Source organism: Homo sapiens, chromosome 22 (genome assembly GCF_000001405.40).
Source record: "Homo sapiens chromosome 22, GRCh38.p14 Primary Assembly".
Taxonomy (NCBI): domain Eukaryota; kingdom Metazoa; phylum Chordata; class Mammalia; order Primates; family Hominidae; genus Homo; species Homo sapiens.
Genome location: NC_000022.11, coordinates 44,276,411 through 44,296,951, shown reverse-complemented (window position 1 = coordinate 44,296,951; position 20,541 = coordinate 44,276,411). Strand labels below are relative to the sequence as shown.

The 20,541-nt window shown below is 55.1% G+C and overlaps 1 protein-coding gene across 2 annotated transcripts in view, besides 4 other annotated features; it reads left to right on the top strand.

The window, feature by feature from the left end:
• Positions 1 to 20,541, top strand: part of SHISAL1 (shisa like 1) — an 88,050-nt gene that overhangs the window by 34,763 nt on the left and 32,746 nt on the right. For both annotated transcript variants that reach the window (XM_005261790.4, NM_001099294.2), the window contains exons 3-4: positions 67 to 280; positions 11,207 to 11,524. In XM_005261790.4, coding sequence (XP_005261847.1) covers positions 67 to 280; positions 11,207 to 11,524 — 532 coding nt within the window. The remainder of the gene's footprint in view (positions 1 to 66; positions 281 to 11,206; positions 11,525 to 20,541) is intronic.
• Positions 3,296 to 4,237: an enhancer, noted in NCBI's record as "H3K4me1 hESC enhancer chr22:44688595-44689536 (GRCh37/hg19 assembly coordinates)". NCBI's record gives its function as "activates a minimal SCP1, AML or CMV promoter by ChIP-STARR-seq in primed H9 embryonic stem cells {active_cell/tissue: H9 hESC(primed)}" and the evidence as "EXISTENCE:reporter gene assay evidence [ECO:0000049][PMID:30033119]".
• Positions 6,125 to 7,068: an enhancer, noted in NCBI's record as "H3K27ac-H3K4me1 hESC enhancer chr22:44685764-44686707 (GRCh37/hg19 assembly coordinates)". NCBI's record gives its function as "activates a minimal SCP1, AML or CMV promoter by ChIP-STARR-seq in primed H9 embryonic stem cells {active_cell/tissue: H9 hESC(primed)}" and the evidence as "EXISTENCE:reporter gene assay evidence [ECO:0000049][PMID:30033119]".
• Positions 14,326 to 14,825: an enhancer, noted in NCBI's record as "H3K4me1 hESC enhancer chr22:44678007-44678506 (GRCh37/hg19 assembly coordinates)". NCBI's record gives its function as "activates a minimal SCP1, AML or CMV promoter by ChIP-STARR-seq in naive H9 embryonic stem cells {active_cell/tissue: H9 hESC(naive)}" and the evidence as "EXISTENCE:reporter gene assay evidence [ECO:0000049][PMID:30033119]".
• Positions 15,737 to 16,237: an enhancer, noted in NCBI's record as "H3K4me1 hESC enhancer chr22:44676595-44677095 (GRCh37/hg19 assembly coordinates)". NCBI's record gives its function as "activates a minimal SCP1, AML or CMV promoter by ChIP-STARR-seq in primed H9 embryonic stem cells {active_cell/tissue: H9 hESC(primed)}" and the evidence as "EXISTENCE:reporter gene assay evidence [ECO:0000049][PMID:30033119]".

The following is a 20,541-nucleotide window of genomic DNA, read 5'->3' as shown; positions in this document are numbered from 1 at the left end:
CCCCTGCCTCTTGGCACCCGTGGACTGGTGAGGGACCCCTCTGAGCCTGGTGACTCTGTCTTCCAGTCTTGTCTGCACATTTCCGGGTCTGTGAACCATACACAGACCACAAAGGCCGCTACCACTTTGGCTTCCACTGCCCCCGGCTCTCGGACAACAAGACCTTCATCCTCTGTTGTCACCATAACAACACGGTCTTCAAATACTGCTGCAACGAGACGGAGTTCCAGGCGGTGATGCAGGCGAACCTCACGGCCAGCTCCGAGGGTTACATGCACAAGTGAGTGCCACTCTGGGGGTGCAACCCCACTGCCTCGGGCCCCAGGCAAGGGGCCTGCCTCCCAAAATCGCGTCCCCTAGGGAGGCGGTTGGGTAACCGCTATAAGGTTGGGTGGGCCTGGAAGGAGTCTGGGAGAGTCTTTGGATGACCAGGGTTTTCGGCCCATTGTGCCTTCTAAGTTTCAGCTTTCTCATCTGAGAAATGGACACAGAGGCCAGGCGCGGTAGCTCACACCTGTAATCCTAGCACTTTGGGAGAATGAGGTGGGTGGATCACCTGAGGTCAGGAGTTCGAGACCAGCCTAGCCAACATGGTGAAACCCCATCTCTACTAAAAATACAAAAATTAGCAGGATGTGGTGGCAGGTGCCTGTAATCCCAGCTACTCAGGAGGCTGAGGCAGGAGAATCACTTGAACCCAGGAGGCAGAGGGTTGCAGTGAGCAGAGATGGCGCCATTGCACTCCAGCCTGGGTGACAAGAGTGAAACTCCGTCTCAAAAAAGAAAAGAAAAGAGGGAGGGAGGGAGGGAGGGACACAGAATACTCACTTTGCAGGGTTACCATAGAAGCTAAGTGAGGTTAAGGATGTGGAAAGCTTTCAGGCGTAGAAGGCGCCTGGGCCTGTAATCCACCGGGTTCCTTCATTCATTCTTCATTCATTTAACAAATACTGATTGACACCATTGACCCAGAGATTAATCCCATGCAGTTCTTTTCCTTAAGGTGATTAAAATACATTGGGATCAGGGCCTGATGGAGGGGACCACAGGTGTGGAGAAAGAGAGAGTTTGCTGTTAGAAAAGCAATGGGAACACGCTAAGTAGAGTCATGGAGTTTCAAAACAGCATGCGTTTCTCTATTATGAGTGAAGCTGGCCGTCTTTTCACATGCCTGAGAGACATTTGTATTTCTTTTACCGTGAGCTAGCTGTTTATGTCTTCTGTCATTTTTCTATTGAAGTTTTTGTTTTTTTCTTATTTACTTATGGGTGCTTTTTATATATGAAGGAAATATGATGAGTTGCAAACATCTTCCCATCTTCTCCTTGTTGAATGTTTCCATACAAATGTTTCCTCTGTGACTTTGACTTTATACTGCTTTTTCCTCATGCTTAATTTTTGTTATGTAATCACATTTTATCATTTTTTTTTTCTTTTATGGTTTCTGGCTTTTGCATCATACTAAGAAAGGTGTTTCCTGCTCTGAGGTCATTAAAAATACCATGTTTTCTCCTAATTATTTTACGTTTTAATATTTTGTCTTTAATTAGTTGAGCTCTCTGGAATTTACTTTGATGAAAGTTTTAAAGTTGGCATTAAACTTTATTATTCTTTTTTCAAAATGGGTAGCTGGTTATTCCAACACCATTTATTAAATTGGCCATCTCTTTTCCCCCGAGATGAAATGCAAACTTACCAAATATCTTAATATACTAAATCTGAGTATTGAGGTAGAGTGTGATATGCAGTTGGCTTCACTTGCTCTGGCTATACACTAGTGCCTCACTGTGTTAACCACTGTGACTTTTAATATGTTTTAATATCTTAATGGGCTCCTCCTGGCTCTTTTGTCATGCAAACTTTAGAATTAGCTGTGTAGTACCCCTACCTCCCCCCAAAAAAATCCAGTTAGTATTTTTTACTGAGATTGTGTTGAATTCATAGGTTAACCCAAGGATTGACTTTTTATGATGTCAAACATTTCCATACAAATGTCGTTCCATTTGTTCAGATTTTCTTTCATAGCATTTTAGAGTTTTCTTCATATAGATATTAGACATATATTTTGCATTTATTTCGAGTTATTTCTTTTTATGTTGCTGTTGGGTCTTTCCTTCCACTATATCCTCTGAGTATTGTTAAAAGCAATGATTTTGAGATAGGAATTTTGATAAAAGCAATGATTTTGAGATAGGAATTTTGCATTCAGCCACCTTACTGAAATTTCTTATTCTTTTTTCAGTTGATTCTCTTAGGTTTCCAATTATTCCACTTGTAAACAATGATAATTTTATCACCCTACCTTGCTGTTTTCGTGCCTCACTTCTTTTTCTTGTCTGATTGTGTTGGCTAGTCCCTCTAAAACAATCTTTAGAATTGTCAGGCTTCTTATCTCCTTCTAATTTTAATGTGATCCTTCAAATTATTTTCCCAATAAGCATGAGGCTGAGTTTTGGGGCAGATGTATTTTTTCATGATAAGGAAAAATCTTTTTGAACAGGGCGTTTGTTGAAGGGAGGTGGTGGGTTGCAAGTGTGAGCCTCGATCTCTGTCTGATGTTGGGGCTGAAGGGCTTTGCCACCATGCTGCATTCACTCAGGGGGAAGCCGCCTGTTCCAAGTCTCCCCACCTCCCACCTAGGCCAGCTCCCCATCCTTCCTTCCTCAAATGCACGGGTGCTTCCCTTGAATCTCTCGCCATCTGCTCAGCCCTTAGAATAATTCTGTGTGTGAAGTCACTCAGCAAGCCCTGTCCATCATATCAGGGCTGCAATCAGATCTGGGATTTGACCCAAGCCTTGTATAAGACAAGGAACGAATTCCCTGAGAGACGAGGGTAGTGCCAGGACTTGGGTGAGGACCCTGTCATGCTGCAAGTTCTGGCTGAACGCCAGACAAGGCTTGGCAAAACAACCAGACTTCTCCAAGGTCTGGTGACTGGTGTCTGGGATCCTCATTTTGAAGCCCACAAGTTTCTATAATCTGCATATTTGCACAGGATTTCACACGGAACACTCCACTCCAGCAGCACAGGGGGTCCTGGCGGCTGCTGATGAAGAGTTGGGCTGCAAAGTAAAGGCCTTCCCCTGGGGAGAATGGGAGTATCGAGGATCAGAATTTTAACTTACATTTTTAATCGTTAGCCCTAGAAAGTGTTTATGGAGCACATAATATAGCTGAGTCTCTGCCCTCAACCTCATCATGCCGCTGCAGCTACCTGGCAGCCCATCCTCAGCCCATTTTACAGATGAGGAAGGGGAGGCACAGAGCAGTTGAGTCACTTGCCTGAGGAAGGCAACGGTTCGTGGTGGAGCCAGCAGCCAACCCAGATGGGCTGGAATCACTTTAGTCATTCTGGAGCTTCTACCAACAGAGGCAGATCCTACTGAGGAGAGGCCCCCTGAGCGGAGATCCCACCCCAGCACCACTGACATCTGGGGCCAGGTCACCCTCCATGGTGGGGCCCACTCTGTGCATTGTGGGATGTTTAGTCGCATCCCGATGGCCTCCACTGACCCGGTGCACCTCCTCCCCACCACCCCGGTGACAACCAGCAATGGCTCCTAACAGTGCCAAATGCGGGGGCACAGAATCATCTCCAGTTAAGCTGCTGCCCTGGGGAGATCCCATCCCTTGTCATTCTCCAGCGATCTTCTCGCCGCCTTCCCTCTCCATAGCTGTGAGTATGGAGCCCACACAGAGGAGGACGCAGCTCCTTCTCCTCCCCCAGGCTTCTCCTGTCATAGGTGCTCCTGCGGAGGGGGGCGTGGTGCTTGATTCTCGAGATCTGACAGCGTTTAAGAAGGTGGGAGCCCCACAGCCCAGAGGAAAGAGCACTTTTGGGCAGAATTCTCTGCAGCCCAGTGGAAGAGCAAGGGGAAGCGGGGAATAAAGAGCTGGTGGAGGCAGGGGGTCCGGGGCCCTGTCTAGCCCAGGGGATAGGGTGGATAGACTTTCTTCTGAGGCCATCAAGCGTCCCTGGAGGGCCTTAAATGGCTTGAGGCTGCATAGGCCATGCATGGGATAAGACCCCAGAGGACCTAGAGTGTCTGCAGGAGCAGGAGCCATGAGGGTGGCCTAGGCCAGACCTGGACCCCACTGAGGGGAGATCAAGAATTCGGGTCAGGGGCCATGGAAGCCTCTTCCCAGCTGCCCAGTTTCAAGGACCTTGGGGAGAGGACCCAAGCCCAGGGAGCTGACGTGGGGCCTGGTGTCCAGGCGGGGCTGGCCCAGCGGCAGACGACGACTTGAGGATGAGCCTTGGGGAGCGGGATGCAGGGCTGAAGTCCTGGGTCATTGGATGGGCTGGAGAGGGCCTCTGTGTGCACGGGGACCCAGGTAGAGTCCACCTCTGTGCCTGTCTGTATTTGGGGCCCCGGCCACACGATATCACAGGCTCCTCTGGGCAAGACACCTGTGGTGCCCATTAATCCTCACCATGGGAGGAAGGAGGGGCTGGGCCCCAGGCTGGGGAAGTCACCTGTCCCAGACCACATGGGTGATAACAACTGGTGTCAAGATCTGAGGGGCTCTGGAGCCCTGGTTCTGCCACCCCTTGGTGCATCTAGAAGGCCAGGACTTGTGTGCCACTGGGGACCGCACCAGACCCCAGCTAAAAGGCTGGATGTTCCAGTATCCTAGACAGGTTAGCACTCACCAGCAGCCCGTCTAGATGGACTAGGACAATGTGACTCCCGGAAGGGGCTTTATGCAGATGCAAGAGCTCCTGGTCCTCCCCCATCGCCCTTCCCCCGACCCCCGCCCCGCCACAGCCCTCCCTGCTGGTGAAACAGCCAGGAGGCGGGGCTGGTGACAGGGAAAAGGAGAGCGCTTCTGATGATTTATTTATTTGTATTTTTCTGGAGGAACAGAATGGTTTGTTTTGGTTCTGGCTGCCTGGCAGGAAGGCAGAGTGAGAGGAAGCAGCCTCGCCAAGCCCACTACCACGGCGAGATGCCCGCTTCCAGCCACGTGGGCCATAGAGAGACTGCAGAGAGAGGGGTGGGGCAGGGGCCCTGACGTGGTGAGAAGTGTACTGCCCTCCTTCCCATGCCAGGGCACTGCCAGACACCAGCAATGGCGACTCAGACTCAGGTCCCTGGGCGATCTGTGGAAGCCTCCGTGTGGGGGTCGCGGTGGGCCAGGGCGTGCAGGGGATGTGGTCAGTTCTCTCTGGGGACAGGGAAAGTCTCTCTGGAGGAGGTGGCTGGGAGTGGCATCTCCCACAATGCATGGGCATTCCTTCACCAGGCAGATGGGCTGCAGGGGGTGGGAGGTGGGGAGGGACTCTAGGAGGACAGAACAGTGCACCCAAAGGCCTAGCATGTGCAGGCATGGACGGTGGTCCCTCCCTTGGCCACGCGTGAAACCTCTGACCCCCAAAGCTTTGCCCTTCCCCAGGGGAAGGAAGTGAATGAACACTTATGAGGACTTCCTCCAACACAAGGGGCCTGACTCATGCTGACACCCTCCATCTGTTATCTATGAAGGACCTTCCACTAGCCCCGTTCACTAGGGCTGAGGCTCAGAGAGGGTGAAGCCCTGCCTGCAGCCACACAGCACACAGGGGACACAACAGGGTTTGGGTCAGCCGTATCGGTCATCCTGGGCTTAGTTATGCCAAGGAGAGGAGCACCCTCAGAGGTCCCGGGAGCTTGAGAAGCGAAGGCTTCCTTTTGGCTCATACTCTGGGTCCTTCTTGGGCTCTTTGGTTCTATGTGTAAAGCATTCTGTGACAAGGCCGTAGAAGCAGCCCCTATCCCGGGTAGGATGGCCCTGCTGTAGAAGGAGAAGGCAGTGGTGAAGCCACACACGTCGTGTCTCTAAGCTTCTGCTCAGAAGTGGCCACAGCATTTTTGCTCATGTTTTATTGGCCAAAGCACGTCACTTGTCCAAGCCTGTTACCAGTGGAGTGAGGAGAGACAGAGGGATTGACCCTATTGGGAACACCCTCAGCCAGGCGCAGTGGTATTTTGATAGTAATAGACTCTGCTTCACCAGGTATATCCAGGCCCAAAGCCCACACACCGCCACTGCCCTAGACAACCTCAATCCTGCTGTGTGACCTTGGGCGAGGCACTTTGCCTCTGGGTCTAGACCTATTAAGCACTCTCTCTGTGCCTTAATCACACGAGCCAGCATTCCAGGGGTCTGTCTCTCTCCAGGCCCTCGTGTTATCTCACAGCCTCACACTTACACCATGAAGTAGGAGGTCTAGGTATCCCCATTTCACAGACAAGGAAACTGAAGCTCAGTTTCCCAAAATCACAGAGAGAATTTTGCCAAGCTGGGATTCGGATTCACACAGCCTTGACGTCTTGAGCCCACACCTTAGTCGCCAGAGTCATCCACCTTGTCTCGTGGACCCGAGGCCACTCCTGCCAATGGGCTCCATACTCCCGTTTTTTGTTTTTTTTTTTTTTTGAGACTGAGTTTCCCTCTTGTTGCCCAGGCTGGAGTACAATGGCACAATCACAGCTCACCACAACCTCCGCCTCCCGGGTTAAAGCAATTCCCCTGCCTCAGCCTCTCAAGTAGCTGGGATTACAGGTGCCTGCCACCACGCCCAGCTAATTTTGTGTTTTTAGTAGAGACGGGGTTTCTCCGTATTAGTCAGGCTGGTCTCAAACTCCTGACCTCAGGTGATCCACCCACTTCGGCCTCCCAGAGTGCTGGGATTACAGGTGTGAGCCACTGCACCCAGCAGGCCATACTCCCATTTTTTAGACGAGGTTAGCAGAGGGGCCATCGGCCATCTTCCAGCTGAGCTGATGTTTCGTTCTGGCCTGCTGGCCTCAGGAACTCTCCTCCTCCACCCTCAAATGTGACTGCCTGGTGGGGTGGTGATGGGGACTTCCATCCCCACACTGGCTGCAGCTGCTCTTCCTGCTGACGGATCTGCTCCTGTGCCCCGGGAAGACGTTCAGTGAGATTCCTCCATCAGAGGTTTTGTTTACTGCTTGGGAAACACCAAAAGAATTTGAATCAGTAAATATCCCAAAATACACTGAAAAAATTGCGATCTGCGGCTTTGGCTGCCTTCACATCTTGCTCCATAAAACAGCCTTTGGTTTTTTATCTTCTGCCATTTACAAAACACACACCCACACAACAAAGACCCCTGCATCTGGATGGAATTAATTTCCAGGTCACATATTTTTCATTACATTTACAAAAGTTTTTTAAAGACCTGAATCTTCCCAGCTGGCTGACCACAGGGAGGGCCAGCCGTGGCAGGCCAGGGGAGTGGTTTCAGCATAGTGCCCATGGCCTGGGCGTCCCCGCCTGCCACCTCCAGGGTGGTCACCTCACAAGGAAGGGCGAATCAGCAAAGGCAACACCCCCCGGCAGGCAGGCCCCTCCCTTCCCTGACAGGGAGGATGAGCTGGGAGGGCCGGGGGTCATGTCATGTGTCAATTGCAGCAAGCTGGCTGCAGAGGCCAGGAGCCCGGCAGTAAACACACACACACACACACACACACACACATTTACAATGACACACTGATCTGCACGGTGCCCCAAGGAGGGAGGACAGGGACTCGCCCTCAGTTCCTGGTAGAGGGTGGGCCGGGACAAGCAGGCACACCACGCAGGTACAGGGGACCCCTCTTTGGACATCTATCCTAGATTAAACCATGGAATTCCCCCAAGATCAGCTCACTTGAAGTCAGAGAGGGACCTGGGTCCAGCTCCCAGTGCTGCCACTCACCAGCTGTGTGGCCTTTGGCAAGTGACTTTGCCTCTCTGGGTCTCATTTCCTCATGTGTGACATGGGAACACTAGCTCCTCCCTCATGGTGCCATTGCACGGATTCAGAAGCACAGGGCACTGGCGCATAACAATTGCCAGTGTTTTTATTAGCTGCTGGCGCACAAGACATGCAGCCTATAAACTCCAGGGAAGTTAGTATCAAAGCAGCCACTGTCACCAGCCCATTCTCAGCTGTCAGTATGTGTTGGTGTCAGTATTTACAGCCTAAGGCTGAGTGCTGGGCTCATAAAGACAATTTGAACCCCAACCCCGCCTTCAGGGCCCTCCCAATCTCCAGGGGCAGACAGTCCTACAAAACAACAAAGACAACAGTGTGTTCTGGGAAATCCAGTGGCTTTGAGAATGCAGGGTAGGGGTTGGACTGACAAGGAAGGCTTCCTGGAGGAGGCGATATCTGGGCTAAGACACAGTGCCAGGGCCAGCTGGGTGTGCAGGAGGTAGGCAGGGGTTCTGGAGAGAGGTGCAGCATGGACAAAGGCCTCCAGGCAAGAGAGATGTTGGGCTGGAGCAGCATTTCTTTTCTTTTTTGTTTTTCTTTTTTTGAGACGGAGTCTCGCTCTGTCACCCAGGCTGGGGTGCAGTGGCGCAATCTCAGCTTACTGCAAGCTCCACCTCCCGCATTCACGCAATTCTCCTGCCTCAGCCTCCTGAGTAGCTGGGATTACAGGCGCCCGCCACCACACCCAGCAACTTTTTTTTTTTTAATTTTTAGTAGAGACGGGGTTTCACCGTGTTAGCCAGGATGGTCTCGATCTCCTGACCTTGTGATCCACCGGCCTCGGCCTCCCAAAGTGCTGGGATTACAGGCATGAGCCACCGCGCCTGGCCCCTGGAGCAGCTTTTCTACCTGAGAACCCGGGTGGCCGCAGCCAAGGCAGTGTGCTATAGTGGTGAGGAGCGCAACTCTAGAGCTCAGCTGCTGAGTTCAAATTCTGCTTCTGCCCCTTAATGGCTGTGAGCTCTTAGGCAAGTCTCTTAATTCCACCGAGCCTCAGTTTTCCATCCGTAAAGCAGGGATGACAATGATGAAAAAGCTGTTTCCTCCCGTGGTTGCGTGAGCATTAAATGGGCTAACGTGGGAAGCAGGTAGGGGAACGAGCGTCCACTGCCACTTCTGGTACTATTATTTCTTGGCCCAGTGGTTCGAGGCCCAGCCTGTGGCCCAGCCACACCCCCAGCTGGCATCCTGGACCCCTTCTGCGGACAGCATCTGCACACAGCTGCCCTGCCTCCCCTTTCCCCGTCTCCTCCCTCAGCCCCCGTGGCTGCTGCCATGGGAACCACCGAAGAAAAACCTGGCACTTAGAGCAATTCCGTGGGGGCTGCAGCAGGGAGGGTGCTGGGGAAAGCAGGAGGGCCTGGGAACTGGAGCCAGGCCTGACTCCTCGGTCTACATGGACATCTACCCCGGGGACACCTGCCCCAGCATACTGGATGGGGCTGCAGGCCTCTTTTTCCTGGAATTCCTGGAAGGAATTCCATATCCAGATGCCTCCAGGAAAAGCTAGCCTCTCTTTAACAGTCTCTTTTTAACATAAGGCCGCTGGGGCCTGGCTGTCAGTCATTTACACCTTAGCATGAGCGAGCCCATCAGTCTGATGCAGGCTTCATGGTGGTGGGGGCTGGGAGGTGGGGGCAAGGAGGCAGCAAGGACGCACAGTGACCGGGAGCTGTGGGATTACAGCTACAAAGCCTAAGCACTGGCCTACAGCTGCTCATGGGATGTGCTCAGGACATGCAGAGACCTCCCAGCCAGGAGCTCCCAGGCACCCGAGCAGCATCTTCAGGCCAAGAACTTGGCCAAGTGAGAGGAGGGAAGGCATTCTAGGCAGAGAGCGAAAGCGAGCTTCCCCGGCCCTGGGCTCAGCCCTGGTCAGGGCCAGAGGAGCCCAAGGGAAGCAGCCCCCATCTTCCTACAGAGGCCACTGCTGGCGCCAGGGCTGACCTAAGCCTGGGAAGATCTGGAGCCTGGAAGTCGAGACTGGGAGAGGCCTCATGCTCATCTCCTCCAGGCCCAGAGACAGGCAAGGGTTTTCCCAGGCCACACAGCAAACCAGGCAGAGGAAGAATTAGAACCAGGTCTCCGGGTTCCGGGCTGGCCCCTTCCCCCCAGCCTCAAACAGGGTCTTAAAGGATCTGCTGCCCGCGAGACCTCCGTCTGGGCGAGAGCGAGGTGAGTCTCTCCCTGGGGATGTGCAGCGGTGGCGTGTACAGGCCGGACACTGGCTCCATTCACGCCTCCTCGACACCAGAAGCGCACACCCACCCAAACACATGCCTGCAGCAGGGAGCAGACGGAGGCGGCGCCGGAGTGATTAACAGATCGGTGGCTTCAGGCAGCCACAGCCCCTGGCACGCACTGTTAGGGCTCGGCAGCTCCAGCTGCTGTGGCAAGCCCTGGACACCATCCACTCTGGGCACAGGTCGGGGAGACTTGGACCCTGGCCCTGGGGAAGGGTGTGGGAGACAGATGTGGCTCTGGGTGACAGGGGCTGGGTTTGAGGGAAACTCAGGGCTGTGGGCCAGAAGACAGGCTTGACCCAGCTGCGTAGGAGGGTCAGGGTGTCCGGAAGACTTCCTGGAGGAAGTGATCTTCGACAAAGGGCCGGTGGGAGGTAGGCAGGGGAGGAAGGGGGCAGGGAAAGAAGGCACGGCCTGTGCAAAGGCCGGGTGCTGGAGCGCAGACCCTGTCTGCAGTGGAGTCGGCTGACACCGGGAGAGCCAGGCTTCACAGCGGGCTTCCAAACCCTCCCGCAACTTTGGCCACCTCTGCCTGAGGAAGGCAGAGCAGCCCTCGGTGGGGAAATGTTGGGCAAATGAATAACAGAAGTGAGGTCATGGGGCCCGGACAGCCCCAGCCATGCACAGCCTGGTCGTGTTGAGTGAAGGGGACCCCTGGGGGAGGCTGAGAGAGGGTCTAGAGGGCAGAACCTGATGCCTCTGCTCTTGGTCCAGCAGGATGGGGAGGACCTCCGTCCTCACAGCAGGGGTGAGGCAGTGAGAGCATCCCGGGTGCCAGGAACAATGTAGGCAAAGGTGGGGCAGGGGCACCTGCAGGAAGGAGGGAGAGGGCAGACCAAAACAGCACCAGGTAAAGGAAGAGGCTGCCATGTCCTGGGAGCCCCAGATGCCAGCTCAGAATTCCCCCCAAAGTGTCTGACTCTGTGGGACCCTCAGGGATCCCAGCCCAAGGACTCAGGGTCCTGGAGGATGCCCAGGTGGGGACCAGGCCCGGGCAGTGGATTCCAGGGAAGGAGGCGAACAGGCAGGCAGAGGAGAGGGAGCCAAGGCCCCGCCCTCCAGAGGGGCTCAGTACCCTCCTCCCGGGGACCCCAACATAGCCCCAGGACACATTCTCTAATCAGCCCCACTGATGAAGCCGGCCTGAGCTGGACTGCTCCCCTCTGCTTGCTCACTCCCTCTCTGTTTGTTCGCAGCAATTACACCGCCTTGTTGGGAGTGTGGATCTATGGATTTTTCGTGTTGATGCTGCTGGTTCTGGACCTTTTGTATTACTCGGCAATGAACTACGACATCTGCAAGGTCTACCTGGCACGGTGGGGCATCCAAGGACGATGGATGAAACAGGACCCCCGGCGGTGGGGGAACCCCGCTCGGGCCCCTCGGCCGGGTCAGCGGGCCCCACAGCCGCAGCCTCCCCCAGGCCCGCTGCCACAAGCCCCACAGGCCGTGCACACATTGCGGGGAGATGCTCACAGCCCACCGCTGATGACCTTCCAGAGTTCGTCTGCCTGGTGAGTGGCTACAATTGAGACCCAGAATGATTTGGGTCATTGTCTTTGGAGAGCTTGGAGAATACGCCATCACTCTCGCCATAGTGTTTGGCTCATTGGTTGCCTGATTGTTTGCTTATCTTGTTGTTTGCCAAGAAAAATTTCAAACTGTTATGGGTAGCCTACAACACATGCCTAGACAGGAAAGTCAAAATGAGAGGTGGAAACAGAGCTTAGAAGCAAAGCTTGCAAGCTCATTGCGCTTAGAGCCCAGTGTGAGAGAGGTAACCACTAAACATTTAGTGGAGTTTTGGGTTACCTAGCTGCCAAGGCAAAGGGGAAAACCGGATGGCTTTTTGAGTTGTAAATCTGGCCAAAGGAAGCAAATCAGTCTGTCCAGCCAGATTTTTCAGCATGAGGTTAGAAAATACAAATGTTACTTAGTTCCTTATGTGTACATGCCTTGTATGGCATGAGGGGTACTAGTTCTGACTCAGGCAGGCTGTGAAGGAAGGAAGGAAGGAAGGAAGGAAGGAAGGAAGGAAGGAAGGCAGGAAGGCAGAGAGGTGGCATCTCAAGGGTTGGCCTTGTGGGGTGGCTGCCCCAGGGTTATGTTCAGATCTGAGCTTGTCTACTGCAATTCCCATTTCCGCCCAGTTCCAGTATGGTGGGGATGGGCCTGACCTAATCCCAGGCGGCCCTGGGTAGTGCAGCATCTAGAGTTGGAAGGGGAGAGGCAGGGTCTGTGCGTTTGGAGCAGGAACTCCCTGGGAGGCTGGCTAGCACCAAGGACAGGAGCCAGACTGAGGGTCGATTCCCAGGTCAAGGGCTAGAGTGAGAGGTTCGGATGCTCTGTGGGGGCTGAGCTGCAGCCATGGGCACACAGGGCTCAGGGCACGTCATCCAGGGACATCATGATACCAAGCCCAGGCTGCAAGACCCATCCCAGAGCCCCCTTGCTGGAGGGGTGCAGGAGTTTGCCGCACAGTGACCCCTGGGTTCATGTGCAGGAGCTTTGCAGGTAACCTAACCTGGGTCTGAGTCCCGGCTCTGCCATTTACCTGCTCCTTGACTTCGGGCATGAGATTTCACCCCTCTTAACCTTCCGATCCTCGTGAAGGAGGAGTGGGTAAGACTGCCCCCTCCCAAGGATTAACTGTGCACCTACCTGGCACATAGTAGGTCCTCAGTTAATCCTTGCTGCCTCCTCTTTGGAGGCAGCAATGACGTGAGTTAGTGATCGTTCACATAGCTAGCAGGTAGTGACCTTTTCAATTATTATTAAATAATTAATAAGATGCATAAATCAGCTTGTGCTTATCGATTGAATAATGACACCATCCATCACACAGGAGACAAAGACACAGCCCTGTGTGGCTCGGTTTGACAAATGCTGGCAGAGTGGGTCCTTGGGCAGGGGTTTGTGCCAGGCTCTGGGGGATGTGGAGGTGATGGGTAGAGAAGAAGCCAGCCTCCACCCTTGAGCAGTGGGGACTCCAGAGAGCTACAGACAATAAAATGTCTGTTGGCAGGACCCAAGAGTGGGGTGTTCTGAAATGTGGATCCTTTGCAACAGACACACCTAGAGGGTTTGTCAAACTAAAGACCCAGAGCCTACTGACCAGGCATCTCTGAGGGTGATGCTCATAGGCACTACAGCTCAGGAGGCACTGGAAAACGTCTATAAGAGCCAAGCTTTTTGATAGCTGAGAATCTTCCGTTTAAAACGGTGGTCCTCCCCCACTCCCGCACCTTTTGCATGCACATACATTTGGAATAAATAGCTCACACCTCGCCGAACACTTGCCAAGGGGATGGAGGATGTCGTGAGCACCCTGCACTCAGCACCTGGGTGCTGTTTTCCTGCCCCGGCCTCAAGGTCTTCCATTTCCTACGTCACTGTGCTTGCTGCTAACAGCTCCCCGATCTCATCCTGCCCAGAACGTTTTTGCCTGTCTCAGCAGCAGTTCCCACCCTACCCCTGTTCCATATTGCTTTTCCCCAACAAGCACACATTGTGCACCTGCTGTGTGCCAGGCACTGTGCTATGCCATCAGGATGCAGAGAGCTTGCCAAGCCTGCAGGGATTGTGCACGGAGCCTGAGTGGGCAGCTGAGCTCCAGGTCCAGGTGGGACACTTTTCCTTTTGGAGCTCAGAGGCTCTTCGTCTTTCCTGACCGTCCTGAGTGCAGGCTCAGGAAGGTGTTCCCATCACCCTGTGAGCGTGAAAAAAGGTTGTCAGAACCCACAAAGGTGTGGTGCAGGATAAGGGAATAGCCAGTCCCTGGCTGGATTCACGGGCACCGTCCCACTCCCGCTGTGCTCTTTGACACGCAGCGTGACTCTGGGTGAGGAGCTTCCTTTTTGGGCTTCAGTTTTGCCAGTTGAGGAACCAACGTGAGAGGGGATTTCATTTGGAGATCAGGGAGGAGCCTCCTTTCCTGCCACTCCAAGGTCCTCCCAGCTGTGTGACCCAGGACATCTCCAGCATTATAGCTCTGACTGTAACCCGACTAGGTCCCTGGTCCCCGGGTGGCCCAGCCTCCATGTGGTGTCCCAGTCAATGAAACACCACTTGGCACCCAAACAGCCATTACAAACGCCCTCTGCGGCCCTCCTCGGGCACACTGGAGAATGTCCAGGCAAGGAGTGTGGACCAGGGAGGTTCTTGAACACTCATCAGCCCCTGGAAAGGCTTCTGTTCCCCTCACAGCCCTCTCAGGAGCCTCCTGCTGAGTGCCGCTGCTCTTCAAAATCTCTCTTCACTTCTGCTTTCACCTCCAGAAGTCTCCTATGAGCCCAGCCTCTGTGGCTTCTCTGCCTTTCTCCCCTGCCCACCCCAGCTCTTTCTCCTGCGAATGAATCCAGCTTCTCCAGCTCCTCAGGGCTCCCTGTGCAGGGGCAGCAGGAGGAAGACAGCTGCAGACACACCCACATCCCCTGAGCTCCTGGAGTCTCCTAATGAGGCCAGCCACTTCTGGGGAGGCTTAGTGGGACCCAAGCAGTGGGTCAAGGACCACCGCAGGGGGGACAGAGACAGGAGGCCAAGGCACTGCCAGGACAGGGCAGTCAGGTGATGCCAGGGGAGGTGGAGGCAAGGGGCAGCTGTGCTGGGGGCCAGGACTGCCTCAGTGCCCAGGAGTTCCCTGCCCCTGGCTCCCACCCTGGCTGCTGCAGCGGGAGGGCCCACGGTGGGCGGGGAGCAGATCCCAGAGCTGGGGCAGAGGAGTAAGCTGGGCGACTGCTGGGCCCAGCCTCAAGGCCTTCGGCTCCCCAGCGGAGGCCGGCACAGCCTCCCCTCTCAGAAACCCCTTGGGTTTGGTGGGTGAGGGCCCCGAGGCAGCCCCCAGGCCACCGCTGAACAGCAGTATTGAAGGCCCTGGCGGCAGTGGCTCAGCCCCACACAGCCCCCGCCTCTTGGTCCCCACAGACACGCACTCCATCAATCATAAGAAATGTGATTTTCCTGCCAGCTGGCTGGGCAAAATCCAAGTGCTGCCGAATCGCGTGGCCAGGCAGGTGGGGCGTTGTGCCGTCCCCCGCCCGTGGGATTTATAACTGAGTTAGGAGCCAGCAGGGGCGTCAGGAGTGGTGCAATGGTCACAATGCTCAGCTGCCTTCGTTTAATTTCACGGAGAAGCGGGGCTTTCCCTCCGCTTAGTAGCTACTGAACTCAGACTGTGAAGTTTCTTGCTCAGATTCTCTGGACTGTGTCTTCTCTGGTGACCCCAAGACTCCACCCGTCATTTCCTCCTGAAAGTAGTCAGGACAACCCCTGAGGGCCCAGAGCCCAGTGTGACCCAGCAGGCACCCCAGGGACACCGCACCTGCGACAAAGTGCCTTCGTCACCTAACGGTGTCTCCTTCGCACTGTGGAGGTCCTGGGTTTTCCTCCCAGGCGTAGAGAGCCTCTCTAAGCACCTTGGCCCTCCTTGCACAGTTGCACACTCAGTTCACAGCGCGGCAGGAGGCAGCACTACCCCCTACACACACAGACACAAACACACACACATACACACTCACACACACACACTTCCACCAGTATTCAGCCCAGCCAGGCCCTCCCACCAATCCCCGACCTGACCTCACTATCTGGACCTCCGTCCTCCTGCTGGACTCCCTACCCTTGTCAGTTGTGCAGTGGTGTGCAGCTCCCCCGACCAGAACCTCAGCCCGACTCAGGGCCCCAGCACATAGTAGCTGCTCAGCAAATCCCGTGTAAGGGATGCAGCAGGAGCATCAGCACTAGGGGTCTGGGACAGGGTCTGGGCTGAGCCTTCTCTCCCCTCAGGTGGCGGGCCCTGGTCCCCTCACCCTGACAGCCCAGGTCTCACCTCTGTACAGCCAGGGCCCACCTCAGGCTAAAGGAGCAAGCAGTGGAGGGGGCACCGAGGGAAGCTGCTGTGCCCCCAGGGTTAAGCCAGGCCCGAGGATGTTGCCACGTTCCTGCCACATGCTGTGCTGTCATCATCACTGAGGCTGTGGCCTGGGTCCTGGGAGGTGCCGCTCTCATGGTTGTGATGGTCATTATTGTTGCTGTCTCAAATCCGGGGCACAGGCAGTGGCTCCCAGTCAGACACACCCACCTGGCCCCGCCAGTGCCGCACAACCTGCCTGCCCCGAGCCTCCCCTGCCTGAGCCTCAGTGTCCCTATCTGTAAACTGGGCAGGGCTGGCCTCTCAGTGCAGTTGTGAGGACCTGATGGGGGCTGACATCCTCCTGGGACACCCAGCTCCACTCCCCATTGTCCCCACCTCCCTCCCTCCCCCATGCATCCACATTCCCATCTCTGAGAGAGGGCCTCGGCTGCCTCCTAGCCTGCTCCCTAGCCCTTGGTGGCCTGACTCTGCCTCCCTACCTGAGCGGCCCCCTCCTGAAGCTTCAGGCTGCTGTTCAACACCCTGTAAGACCTGCAGGGCCCAGCAGAGAGTGCTGGGAACCACGGTTAGTGCTTGACTTTAGACACTGCCCCCCTTGGTATTTCCATGGACTCTTGTCACTCCCACGCTGGGGACTGGGCTCAGCAGGACACCTCATCACCTTGTGTGGATGAGTGAACTTGGGCCCAGGGAGGGTCAGTGACTTGCCCAAGGCCACACAGTAGATCCATGGTTTTGAGCCAGGGTCTTCCCAGCCTATGTCAGATCCTGAGCCGACTGCCACCTGGGCCTCACCTATCTCAGAGCCTCCCCCCACCTCACTGCCCATGCCTTCCAACCCAGCCTTGACCCCTCAAATCCCTTGCAGATTCACACCTCCTTGCTTTTGACTCAGTTCTCTTCCCAATGTGCTCTGCCCCACATCTCCCTGGGGAACTCCTATTCATCCTTCAAAACCTGCCCTGAGGTCTAGGGGCCTGAGTGGGGATGGGGGATGGGGAGTGGCTGGAAGAGAGGAGGCTGCCTAGCCCCAGCCCTCCCAGCCCCCAAGCCCTCGCAGGCTGTCAGAGTTCAGGGAAAAATTCCCAACTTGGCTCAAGGGGATCGATCATGTGTACATCTCAGATCTTAAGGGGTATCCAAATCCCCTGGGTCTTGTTGGGTTTGCAAATTCTGATGCCTAATGATGGGGTAGGCCTAGGATTCTGCATTTATAGCAAGTTCCTGGGAGATGCTGATGCTGCCTGTGGGGCATGCAGGGACAGGGCAGAGCAGCCATTAGAGCCTGAGCACCTCTACAGTGCTGGCTCCGTCACCCTGGACCCTGGGGACTTCAGGCCACCTGAAGAGACAGGAGCCCAGCAGGGGCGGGGGGATGTCCAGAGTTCCTCTCCATCCATTGGCCTCTGCCTACCAGCAAAGCCCCAGTACCACCGTTTCTCACCTTATTCTCCCTGCGCCTAGAACCCCTCAAGCTCTTTGCAAAACTCATTCGTCCTCCCCTGTGAGGTCCCAGAGTTCACCCAACCCCAGAACCTTCTCCTGCTGAAACCCAAGCATCATGTTCTTCCTGGCTCTGCAGCCAGGGTCCTTGGCGTGTGGTTTCTGCAGGGAGGGTGCCAGCCAACAGCAAGAAATTCCAGAAAATGAGGAGACTGAAAAGGGAGATGACCAAATATCTTCTTTCCTTGGCGTAACATCAAATACCAAGGAGGCTTCTGTGATTGGAATTCAGAAGACAGTTGATGTCCTGAGTGGGGATGGAGTTGCAGCTCCTTGGGGGTTCCAGCTAGACCAGGAAACTGGGCTGTCCCCTCCAGTTCCTGTCTTTTCCCAGCTGGGGCTCAAGAAGGCGCGCGTTCCCTCCTTTGCTGGCTCTCTGGGCTGCTTTCCGTTTGTTTGGACAGCTTGGCTAAAACCCCGGAGGCTGTCCATTCATCAGTGTCACTCCGCGGTGGTGGGTACCATGGGCGGCAGGCGGGTGGTGACAGAAAGGCTCAGAACCAGTGACTCCACCTGCTGTGTGTCCTCGGACGAGTTGCTGGCCCTCCCTAGTCTCAGTGCCTGCCCTGGACAGTGATGGTGATGAGAGCCTGCCCTGGACAATGATGGTGATGAGAGGTCCCGAGGGTACACAGTGGGACTGCAGGGAATCTCCTCCTCCTACCCACGCCCTGGTGCCCAACTGTGCAGACTCCCCAGAGTGCAGGCTACAGTCCCAGCCTCTAGGAACCCTCCTCAAGCCGAAGCCTATGCTGCTCCTCCCGCCGCATCCTGGATGTGGCTGACTGTGGCCCAGCTAGGATCCACATCACCACGACCCACGGAGGCCCCTGAGGTGCATCGGGACCCCTGTGACAGCTGCAGAGTTTCTCCTCACCCCTTCTCCTGGGGAACACAACTCCTTGACCCCTCTCTGTACCCCCAAAGGTTCAGGGGGGCATTAAGATGCGTGGAGAGGCCCGTTCACCCGGAGCCAGCACACAGGCCGCCCCTGGGGGCTGCGGTCATGTTGCTATTCTTTTTCCCTGCCTTAATACCTACCTCCTTCTCCTCAGCACTCCCCCAAGGGACAGTCGCAGTTTCCTCTGTTTTTCTGCTTCATTTTCCACCATAAAGGTGCCCCTGCTTGCTGGAGGACTGTATTAGTCAGGGTTCCCTAGAGGGACAGAACTAACAGGAGCTATATAAAGGGGAGTTTATTAAGTAGTAGTAACTCACACGATCACAAAGTCCCACAATAGGCTGTCTGCAGGCTGAGGAGCAAGGAAGCCAGTCTGAGTCCTAAAGCTGAAGAACTTGGTTGGAGTCTGATGTTCAAGGGCAGGAAGCATCCAGCACAGGAGAAAGATGGAGGCTGGGAGGCTAGGCCAGTCTCACCTTTTCACATTTTTCTGCCTGTTTTATGTTCAGGCCACGCTGGCAGCTGATTAGATGGTGCCCACCCAGATGAAGGTGGGTTTGCCTTCCCCAGCCCACTGACTCAAATGTGAACCCCATTTGGCAACACCTTCACAGACACACCCAGGATCAATACTTTGCATCCTTCAATCAAGTTGACACTCAGTATTAACCATCACAAGGACACTGCCAGTGTGGGAACCAAGTGACCTCACCATCACCCGCAGGGCTCCGTGTCCCTCCAGCCTGGCCGGTCATCAGGGCAGTGTTGTCATCCTGCACATAAAATGGTGTGTCTTGGGTTTTTAATTCAACATTATGTCCCGTCGAGCCTCTCGTGTGATGGAAAAGTGTTCATAACCACCCTGCAATGGCTGTGCTAATTGTCCAAGGAGCAGGCGGTGGCCCATAACCCAGTGATCCACTTCCACCTCAGGCCATGGGGGTTCCTAATTTTCTAGCCTGAAATGGTTCTCTTTTAGCCTCTGTGAGCACGCCTCTGTCTCACGCCCAGGGTCCTTCGGCCTCCAGGGAGAGAGGGTTTCCAGCTCTCCAGCACTGCCTGGAACCTGCTGTAGGGATCCCCTCCACATCCCTGCCTAGGAGGTGCGGCCCAGCGATCCAGCACTCACTCACCCTCCAGGAAGCTGGCCTCGGTTTGAATAGCCCCACCTGCCATGAGGCTGTTTTGTTTTGTTTTGTTTTGTTTTGTTTTGTTTGGAGGCAGAGTAGTTGAGTTAGGAGCAAAGGCTCTTGGAGGCAAACAGAACTGGGTTCAAATCCCAGGTCCCCTGTTTTGAGGTACCTGGAGGGCCTCCAGCAGGCAGCTTGCCCCTCCTCACCAGGACAGTGGGTGACAGAACTGGCCTCTCAGGTGCTGTCTGCTTAAATGAGAGGAAACGCGGAAAGGCCCTGGCACGGAGCAGCTGCTCTGCAAATGCTTGGATCCCTCTCCCGGCATCGCGTCCGTGAGCCTTCCCCACTGTTCACGGCTCTGTCCAAGACAGTGCTCAGCTGTCCCAGCATTCACGGTCCACCAGACTAAGCACTGGTCAGCCAGGGGAGGAGCAGCTAACACAAAGAAAGGGTTTCAGTGGATGAATAGGAGTTCGCCAAAGTGGGGAAAGGGCATCCCGGCAGAGAGAGCAGCTTAGGCAGAGCCTCGGAGGAGGGAGGGGCTGAGGGGAACTGGGGAGCCCTGGGTTCTCTGCACCGCAGGGTCCTGGCTCCTGGCCCCTCATCGCTGCCCTTCTTGTTCCTCTTTGCAGCTCGTTCATCATCTGCCTGATCTTAGACACAAGCGCTCCTCCCTTTCACTTCTCTCTCATTTCCACCCACCCCTGGGGACCCCACCCGGATCCACAGCTCCAATCCTGTCCACCTCCCGTTCTTTCTCCCTGGTCTCTCTCCCCTGAATCCAGATCTGCTGGTCATTGCAGAGCCTAGTCCTCAAGGGCAGCTCTTGGATGTCCCATAGACGTGGGGGACCGGCACATCCACATCCCCGCTGCCTCCCACCATCTCCTTGGCTCCTCCCTTTCTTTCCTGCTTCACGTGTTCCATGAGCAATACCTTGAAAATGAAGCCAGAATCCACCCCATACCCACCCCTCCACTGAGATCAGCCCTCCTTGTCCATCTTCTCTGGCCAGGATGGAGGCAGCTGCCTCCACATATCTCCCTGACACCAGCCTTTGTCCCCGACAGCAGCAGCGTGATCTTTTAAAAACATTAAGTCAAGACCCGCCGATGGCCTCCT